The 10,724-nt window shown below is 39.0% G+C and overlaps 1 long non-coding RNA gene across 1 annotated transcript; it reads left to right on the forward strand.

The window, feature by feature from the left end:
* The first annotated feature begins 285 nt into the window (after positions 1 to 285).
* LOC105373932 (uncharacterized) lies at positions 286 to 2,364 on the forward strand. The gene is made up of 3 exons (XR_001739236.1): positions 286 to 806; positions 1,297 to 1,528; positions 2,159 to 2,364. It is a non-coding gene; the product is annotated as an uncharacterized LOC105373932 (long non-coding RNA).
* Positions 2,365 to 10,724: the final 8,360 nt, after the last annotated feature.

Below are 10,724 nucleotides of genomic sequence, written 5' to 3' on the forward strand. Positions count from 1 at the left end.
CATTGGGCATAAATATTGCTGATGAGCTGAAACTAACATGCTCCCCCCTCCAAAATAAACTAAAAAAACTAACCAAAGGAACACATTGAGGGACTATTCTAGTTGTCCTATTCCAGTTGAATATTCATAGTATTCATCAGTACTATTTAATGTTTTATATAAACTCCAAATGTGCTTGTTATTTCAGTGTTCGGAAAATTTATAGCCAGTAAAATTACATATATACATATACATGATTTGCTTTTATTTATTTGGTTATGAATGCAAGTAAAATATTATTTTCTTTATGTGCTCATTGAGTGCTTGTGTTTCTTGTATGAGTTGGCTAGTCAGGATCTCTGTCCATTTTTCTCCTGCGGCCTTTGTTAGCAGAATTAAATTTTTTTCTCGACCACTCCTCACCAGCCAAGTAAGCATGAGTTCCATCCACCCAGAGCCTCAGACTATGCATCACTAAAGCGAGAAATGTAGACCTGAGAATCCCCAGGTCCTTAGAGGCCTGTGGAGGTCCTCTGATTCTAGAATTTACTTCCTTTCGCCCCAGAAGTAAGTGTTAGGAAGGAAAACTTCAGAGCAGTGTGAAAGAAGGAAATGGGGGACCCTACTTATTTGGGGGCCATGGAAGTCAGCAGCTCTGAGAGGGGAGCTGAGCATGAGGAGCAAGGGGAGCAAGGGGAGACATGAGCATGAGTAGAAGTGGCCAATTGCAGCACAGAATAAGGGCAGGATGAGGGTTGGCAGGGACCTTCAGGGGAACTGGTGCCAGGCACCGAAGGTATGAGAGCCTCTGACCAGCTGGGAAACAGGTAAGAACAAATGGGAATGTGGTGTTCTTCCCAGTATCTGCTCCCTTTACCATGTAGCTTCTCAGTGCTCACCCACAATGGGCAGGGAAACTTCCCCACATCTTTATGATGGGCTGAACCCTGTGATTTGCTTTGGCCAAGGGGGTTGTTAGCCCACTTGATGCAGCAGGCACGAGTGTGCATATGTGTTTCTGCTTGTACCTGTGTACTTCTGCCACTTCCCAAGGATATGTATGACCAGCTGGCCTACCAGTGTTAGGAGGAGGACAGACCCACAGTGCAGAGCCACCCCACTGAAGCTGAGTCCAGGCTAGCTGACCCCAGCCAACCCACAGACCCAGGAGCTACCTAAACACCTACAGCTGCATGTCGTGGTGGGTTGGTATTCTGAATGAAGGCTGTAGATATCTCATACACAGCAAACTGGGCTGGAGTGGGGCCAATGTTGTCCTCCAAGGCACTTCAAGTCCTATTGCACGAATTGTATCAGTTTCTAGAAATTTCCAACACTGGCAGAAACCAAGATACTGGCTTGGGGTAAAAGAAAGAAAGCCCAGTAGGACCCAAGGAAGAGGAAACTGGTAAGCTATGGAAAGGCCATCAAGATCTATCCACGTGGAATAGGAATCAGTGAATTCATCTCAACAAAGAAACCAGGGAGTAAACCAGGAGTCTGTGACATCCACATGCAGGAAGCCTGTGACATCACCTGAAATAGCAAGGTGGGCACTGAAGGAAGACCAATACTTCAAGGCCTGTATGTGCCCTGGGGGATGCCTGGCACCCTGGAGGGAATCTCATTCATTGGAACAACACTGATTCTGATCATACCGCCCTTTGGAACAGGTATACACTGCATACTGCAAAGGATGTGAGCCTTGGCACCCGAGAAGTGACAAGGGCTAGAGCAGACTGAGATTGGTCATGTAGTATGTGTGTGCAGCCTAACAGGTCTCAACTCTCAGTCCTTCCACTCATCCTGGCAATAGGCACAAACATCAACACTGTATAGATCAGGACACAGGTTCATGTAGATCTGGTGATTTACTCTGGGTGATGCAAACAGAAACAGGCAGGACCAAGGTCCAAACCCATCCTGAACCTGAATTTTGCCCTCTTTAAAGAAGAGCCCGACATACATTATAACTACCTAAACCCTATCTTCCTGGCCATTATGGGCCTTGATTTTAGCCACTAAGAACATCCAGTTAATTGCTTCTATTTTTATTCTATGCTCACAAAGTAATCTTGCATTTATATATTGTTTTCTTATATAGACTTGTTAATGGGATGACCATAAATGTATTCAACTTTATGAAATTCATTCCTTGGTTCTCATTGTAAATTTGTAGGTTGGCATTCTCAAGCAATTTCCAGGATTTGCTGAATTTAGCTAGAAGGAGACTGGGCAGCTCTGGGTGTGCTGACCAATCAAAATTCTGGACATGGGGGAGACCCCAAATAATGGGAAACCACCCAAGTACTGCTGTTCAGCAAGACTTTGAGGTGAACTTCCTGGACAACATTTCCGAGACTTCAGGTCCTCCAACTGCAGGATGCAATGGTAAGACTGGACTGAAGGTCTTGCTTTTAGAGGGTGTGTTCTTAAATTTCACTTTGTCTTCTCAGGTTAATAGTACCATGCTTTTGTAATCTATTAATACTTTCTGCTGTCATTAGCTACCAATGCTAAGGGTAAAAATCAAACTATGGGATACTGATAGAATATTTATTTATTTATTTATTTATTTATTTATTTATTTATTTGAGACAGGGTCTTTCTCTGTCACCCAGGCTGGAATACAGTGGTGCAATCACAGCTCCCTGCAGCTTTGAACTCCTGGGTTCAAGCAATCCTCTTGCCTCAGTCGCCCAGGTTACTGGAGCTACAGGTGCACACCACGATGCCTGGCTAATTCTTTTATCTTTTGTAGAAACAGGGTCTTCTTTTGTGGGCCAGGCTAGTCTCAAACTCCTGACCTCAAGTGATCCTCCCGCCTCAGCCCCTCAAAGTGCTAGGATTACAGGTGTGAGCCATTGAGCCCTGTCTAGAATTTTAAAAAAGCAATTCGTAGTATCGCAGTTACAAATCTCAAGACTGAAACTCCTAGATCCGTGTGTGTGGCAGCCTGGTGCCGTCTGTGTGGCAGCTTGGTGCTGTCTGTGCAGTTGAAATAGCCTTGACAGCCTTGAGCCCGTGCTTGGTGGAACTCCTGCTGATGCAGTGTGAAGACACACTTCTTGTGTCTGGAACACACGTCTCAAGTGTAAATCCTCTGTTCCAAACAAGTTTGAATACGTTTTGTTTTATTTTGTTGGCTACTAATTCAAACACTTGTCCTGTGTTAATAGCCAGTGATTAATTTCGGGTTCTTTTTCATGTGGGAATTACTCAAAGCTCCTCTCAAAACTATGCTGCATTCATCAGCGTGACTCATCTTTTTCCATTTCCAGAGCAAACAGCAGGGACTATCCAGTCTGTACTTCAGGAAATGAGCGAGAGTGAAGTAAGCTGGCAAACGACTGCTATTTCTCTTCTTTTGAGTTTGAAATGAAAGGTTTTTTTTCCAGTATAAGATTATTCTTAGGCTGGGTGCAGTGTGTGCCTGTAAGCCCAGCACTTTGGGAGGCCAAGATGGGAGGATCACTTGAGCCCAAGAGTTTGCAATCAGCCTGGGCAATATAGTGAGATGCCCCCGTCTCTAAAAAAATAATTTAAAAAAATTAGCCAGGCCTGGTGGCGCATGCCTGTGGTCCCAGCTACTTGGGAGGCCAAGGTGGGAGGATTGCTTGAGCCTAGGAGGTAGAGGTTGCAGTGAGCTGTTGTTGTGCCACTGCCCTCCTGCCTGGATTACAGATAAAGACCTTGTCTCAAAAAAACCAAGAAACAAAAAACAAAAAACACCCTACTTTTTTATTTAAAAAATGTTTTACTTATTATAGTAACATAAAGAAACAAACATACATAAGAAGCATATAGTGGGATTGATTTTCCCAATGTGAACCCACTGGTGTAATCAGCACTCAGAGAGAGAATCAAAATATTAGCAGCACCCTAGAAGCCCCTGTAGGCCCCAATTTCTAAATTCATAGATGAGTTTGTCCATCCCTGAAGTTTTATATCAATGGATCACATGCTATATACTCTTTGGTCTGGGTGTTTTTTTTTTTTTTTTTAATTGCTGTTAGGTTTGTGCATTGTATCCATATTGTTGTTCAGCAATTGCTTGTTTCTTTTCATTGCTGTATAGTATTCATAACAATCCACAGTTTATTTACTGGATACTGTTAATTCTGTCCTTCATGATTAATGATGTGAACCCCCACTTTCAAGTACTTATCAGCCAATTATTCAATAACTTTTGTTCATTTTTCTACTAGATTTTTTCCTTCGGCTTAATTTTTTAATTTCTGTCTTTTATATTTTTTTAATTTTTAATTTTGAAAAAATGTTAATCTACAAAAAAGTTGCTAGAATTTCCTACTGAATACTCATAGATCTTTTCATCTAGATTCATCAGTTGTTAACCATTAATCATGTTTGTTGTATTTTTCTCTCCATCTCTCTATATATTAACTTTTTTGTGAATCATTGAGAATGAATCATGTTGATATCATGTTCCCCAGTCAATATTCACCGAAATTCTTATCTGGAGTAATTATTACTATGGTGGTTGCAAAATCAACTCTATTTTGCCTTCTACATTTATGAGTTGCCATTCTACTGTAAAATGTTTGCCACATTTGTTGTATTTTTCTGTCTACCTACCTATGTACTGATCAGCTTTTTTCTGAATCACTGAGAGTAAGCTGTAGACACCATGACCCTTTGTTGCTGAATACTTAAGTATATCTTGAATACAAAGACATTTTCTTTCAAAATTACTATATCAAATCCAAGAAATTTAACATTTTTATATTAATATTATATCACATATTATCATAAAAATTTGGCAATTATCTCAATAATGTCTCTGGAATAGCATTTTCTCCTAATGTGGTATCACATGCTGCATTTTCTCCTAATGTGGCATCACATGTTGCATTTTCTCGTAATGTGCTATCACATGCTGCATTTAGTTTTCACATCTGTTTAGTCTTCTCTAATCTGAAATAGGTTCTTAGCCTTTTTTGTTTTTTTATGATATTGACATTTTTTAAGAATATAGCATATTCATGTTGTAGAAAGTGCTCTAATTTGGCTATTTCTGGTTTCTTCTCTGAGACTAAATTAAAGGTACTTATTTTCTCAGAGTATTTCATAATTGAGGCTGTGTCCACGTCTCAATGCATCACTTCAGAAAGCTTGTGACATCATTCTGATCATTCAGACAGAGAGGTGTCAACTAGATTTCTCCATTAAAAAGATTCATTTTCTTTCCATGTAATTAATACATAATTGATTGGGAGATTAACACCATGTTGATATCATATTTCCCAGTAAAGATTCACCCAAATTCTTGCCTGAAGTAATTATTAATATAGTGGTTATAAAAATGGCAATTTTCAACTCATCATGCCTTTTATGTGTACTAGTTGTCATTCTACTATAAAAAATGTTTTACTTTTATTTATTCATTAATTTATATGTTTAGTACAGTATGGACTCCTGTTTTCACTTTATATTCATTATGTTTTTATTCACTTTTGTTTCTATTCTTTTGAGAAACAGAACTGTCCTAAACTTCACCAATGGAAGGTCCTTGATGCCAGTTTGCACATGTCATGTTGGAGGGGGGTGGTCTTTTAACACTTCCTTGATTTATGGACAAGATATCCCAGGCTTATTCATAGTCTTCTGATGTTAATAATTTCTTGATCAAGTTCAATTTATTAATATATGGCTACCACTCTTTGTACTCTGGCTAGGAAATCCTTGCTTAATACAAGTTCACCTTATTTATGGCTACTATGCTTGGTATCTTGACTTGAAAATCCTTGCTTACTTAACACAAGTTCAGGAAATTATTTTCCTGTGATTTTTTTTTCCTACAGGCTTTCATGCTTAGATCTACAATCCTGCTTGAATTTAATTTTGCTTATGGATTGTATATAAAGTTCTGGTTCTTCTGTATAAGGAAGAAAGGAGCACTATTAATTATGGAGCAGTCAGCAGGTATAAACTAGACCCATATGGGAAAATTTGGACAATGACCACGCACCACTTTAAAGTCCTCTGCTATGCATTGGTTCCTGGCTACCTCAGTACCTCATTTCTTACAGGTCTCCCTGTCACACTGATGGCTTAGCTGTTCCTCAAACCTATCAAGACCTTATCCTAAGCCTGTGCTCTTTCTTCCAACAGAACTCTCCTCTCCCATACAGCCACTGGGCCTACTCTTCACGGAGGTCTCTGTCAGTCACCTCCTGAGACATATTTCTGCAACCACCCAATCAAAAATAGCTCCAGCTTATGCCCTTGGTTACTGTCTACTGCCTTACCCTGTGTCCTTTTCTTCACAGCACTTACCACCACCTGATGGAGTGGAGGATTCTAAGTTCCAAGAGGGCAGAAGCAGATTTTCTTTCATTTACTGTTGTGGCCTCACACGTAGCTACAACTGTGCCTGCTGCACACCAGGATGCAATAAATGTTGGCCAGGTGTCTGAACGGAGTGTTTGTCTCTTAACATGGACCTAGCCTTCCCCACCATATTCTTTTAAGAACTGTTTATTTGCTTCTTTGGTCTGCTTACTCTTCCAGACCAAAAAAAATAGAATATGATTTTAAGTTAGAAAACAAACAAGCAAGCAAAAAATCTCTATTTATTTGTTGAAATCATCTGTCTTAGTCCACTTTGTGCTGCTATAACAGAATACTTAAGATTGAGTAAGTTAGAAAGAAAACAAATTTACTTCTCAGGATTCTGGTGGCTGGGAAGTCCAAGATCATGGCATTGGCCTCTGGAGAGGACCTTGTTGCTGTGTCCTCACATGGCAGAGGCAGAAGTGCAAGAGAGCAAGGCAAACTAATGCTGCGTGAAGCTTCTTTTCTAAGGGCCTTAATCCGTTTCCTGAGGAAGGAGCCCTCATGGCCTAATCATCTCTTATAGACCCCACCTCTTAATACTATCATATTGTAAACACCTAAATTTTGAAGGGGATACGTTCAAATTGTAGTATTGTCTAAACTTAAAAAATAACTTGGGGAAAATTGACGTTTTTACCAATATCTGCCTTACCACTGAGAAATATGGAATGTTTATTCTTTCCTTCCTCTCAATGGTTCTTTTACAGCTCTCAATGCAGCTTTTAAATTCTATCACATATGTTTGTTTTTGAGATTATTTTGAGGTATTTTATGGAATCTTTCATGTTATTACAGTGAATAGGATTCTTTTTCTATCATGCCTTCTCTAACTCAGGATTTAAAGTATATGGGAAAGGTCTTTTGGGTATTGGTTTTATCCATATACTTTGATGAATTCTCTTCTGACATGGTACATTGCAGGATGCTTTGCTACTATGGACATATAATCATCCTAACAATGACTAATATAATGATAGCAATCATAATCATGAGATAACAGTTACAGCAATAACATGACCATGAGATAACCGAACACTAAATTGCAGGTGTTCTCAACACCTATAATGCCCAGAACCTAGCAGGCCTACAACAAATATTTGTTGTTGTGAATGAATAAATTTGTAGCCATACCTGGGTGCGGTGGCTCACGCCTGTAATCCCAGCACATTGGGAGGCCGAGGCAGGCGGATTACCTGAGGTCAGGAGTTCAAGACCAGCCTGGCCAACCTCATGAAACCCCGTCTCTACTAAAAATACACAATTAGCCGGGCATGGTGGTGCATTCCTGTAATCCTAGCTACTCAGGAGGCTGAGGCAGGAGAATTGCTTGTAACCGGGAGGCAGAAGTCGCAGTAAGCCAAGATCTTGCCATTGCACTGCAGCCTGGGCAACAAGAGCAAAACTCTGTCCCAAAAAAAAAAAAAAAAAAAAAAAAAAAAAATTGTAGCCATACTCACAATTCTCATTTTCTCCTGATTTCACTGAGTGCACCTCAAGTGAATTCCTCCTGTGATAATGAGCATTGTTTGGAGAGAACGATTCTTAATCTTCTAGGCAAGAATCCTTCCAGTCCTACTTTTCAAAAAGTTGTATCTGGAAAGGGGACTAAAATGTATTGAAATTATTGTCAACACCTTTTGAAATGGTTCTATATCTTTTTCTTTTTTCATATGTCAGTTTAATGCATTATTTAAATTTTATAACATCTTCCTAATCCTGGAATAAATCCTACATATCTGTGTATGTGTATGTTCAGATTTAGTATGGAGGTTTGTGGTAAAATTTTGATTAGGATCTTTATACATGAGACTGATTTACAATTGTCATATCTCTGCTGTGCTAATCCATGTTGAAATCAGCTTTAGGTTAGCATTTCAAAAACACATTGCCTGTGAAATTATGTAACTTACTTGAAAGGATAACTAAAGCCAGAGCCTTTAAAGAGTAATTATTTGAAAATCCCTGTGATACATTTTCATTAGTGGCCCTGTTGTTTAAAAGCTTTTCTTATTTAACTTTTGTTTTACTTTCTGGGGTACACGTGCGGGTTTGTTATATAGGTAAATTTGTGTCATGGGGGTTTGCTATAGAGATTATTTTATCACCCAAGTATTAAGCCTAGTACCCATTAGTTATTTTTCCTGATTCTCTCCCTCCTCCCACCCTTCACCCTCTAAAAGTTCCCAGTGTGTGTTGTTCCCTCTGTGTGTCCACATGAAATCTCATCATTTAGCTTCTACTTAAAGGGAGAACATATGGTATTTGGTTTTCTGTTCCTGCATTAGTTTGCTAAGGATAATGGCCTCCAGCTCCATCCATGTTCCTGCAAAGAACATGATCTCATTCTTTTTTATGGCTGAATAGTATTCCATGGGGTATATGTACCACATTTCATTTATCCAGTCTACCATTGATGAGCATTTAGGTTGACTTCATGCCTTGCTATTGTGAATAGTGCTAGGGCAATAAACATACACATGCATGTGTCTTTATGGTAGAAAAATTTATATTCCTTTGGGTATATACCCAATAAGGGGATTACTGGGTCAAATGGTATTTCTGTTTTTAGGTCTTTGAGGAATCACCACATTGTCTTTCACAATGGCTAAATTAATTTACACTCCTACTAACAGGGTATAAGTGTTCTTTTTTCTTGGCAACCTCGCCAGCATCTGTTGTTTTTTTTTTTTTTTTTGGCTTTTTAATAACAGCCATTCTGACTGATGTCAGATGCTATCTCATTATGCTTTTGATTTCCATTTCTCTAATGAACAGTGAAGTTGAGACTTTTTTCATATGCTTCTTGGCTGCAGGTATGTCTTCTTTTGAAAAGTGTCTTTTCATGTCCTTTGCCCACTTTTTAATGGGGTTGTTTTTTTCTTGTAAATTTGTTTAAGTTTCTTATAGATGCTGGATATTAAACTTTTGTCACATGCATAGCTTGCAAAAATTTTCTCCCATTCTGTAGGTTGTGTGTTCACTCTGTTGATAGTTTTCTTTCTGTGTAGAAGTTTAGTTTAATTAGATCCCATTTGTCAACTTTTGCTTTTGTTGCAATTGCTATTGGTGTCTTCATCATGAAATCTTTGCCTGTTCCTATGTCCAGAATGGTATTGCCTAGGTGTCTTCCAGGGTTTTTATAGTTTCGAGTTTTACATTTAAGTCTTTAATCCATCTTGAGTTGATTTTTGTATATGGTGTAAGGAAGGAGTCCAGTTTCAATCTTCTGCTTATGGCTGGGCAGTTTTCCCAGCAGCATTTATTGAATAAGGGAATCCTGTCTCCACTGCTTGTTTTTGTCATGTTGGTCAAAGATCAGATAGTTGTAGGTGTGTGGCCTTTTTTCTTGGTTCTCCATTCTCTTCCTTTGCTCTATATGTCTGATTCTGTACCAGTACCATGCTGTTTTGGTTACTGTAGCCCTGTAGTATGGTTTGAAGTCGGGTAGTGTGATGCTTCCAGCTTTATTCTTTTGCTTAGGATTGTCTTTGCTGTTTGGGTTCTTTTTTGGTTCCATACAAATTTTAAAATATTATTTTCTAGTTCTGTGAAGAATGTCAATGGTAGTTTGATACAAATAGCATTGACTCTATAAATTGCTTTGGGCAGTATGGCCGTTTTAACTATATTGATTATTTTTATCTACGAGCATGGAAAAGTTTCTATTATTTAAAAAAATCCCACAGAATGTTTTCATTTATTGATATTTTCAAGTTTCAATTCTGCTAAGTAGACGGACTCATAGCTTTCGGAAATAGCATTATACCTTTTGTTACAATTACAACTTTCTTTCTTTCTTTTTTTTTTTGTTTGAGATGGAGTCTCACTCTGTCGCCCAGGCTGGAGTGCAATGGCATGATCTCGGCTCACTGCAACCTCCACCTCCCAGGTTCAAGCAATTCTCCTGCCTCAGCCTCCCCAGTAGCTGGGACTACAGGTGCATGCCACCATGCCCGACTAATTTTTTTTGCACTTTTTAGTAGAGACAGGGTTTTGCTGTATTAGCCAGGATGGTCTCGATCTCCTGACCTGGTGATCTGCTGGCCTCGGCCTCCCAAAGTGGTGGGATTACAGGCGTGAGCCACCACACCTGACCGCAATCACAACTTTCTAATTTTATGTCTTTGTATGGTGGATTGTTAAAAATTAAATTTGATTTGTCCATTTTATTGATTTTGTAAAAAGAAGCAGCTTTTGATTCCATTTATAGATTTCTTTTTTTCACAGTTAACTAATTTCTGTCATATTTCTTTTATTTCTTTTCTCCTGGTTTCCCTAGGACTAATTTTGTTTTTTAATCATAGCAAATAAATAAATAGATCATACACACATACACACACATGCATACACATACGCATGCACACACACACACAATCCGAGGTGAATAT

This window comes from Homo sapiens, chromosome 2 (genome assembly GCF_000001405.40).
Source record: "Homo sapiens chromosome 2, GRCh38.p14 Primary Assembly".
Classification (NCBI taxonomy): Eukaryota; Metazoa; Chordata; class Mammalia; order Primates; family Hominidae; genus Homo; species Homo sapiens.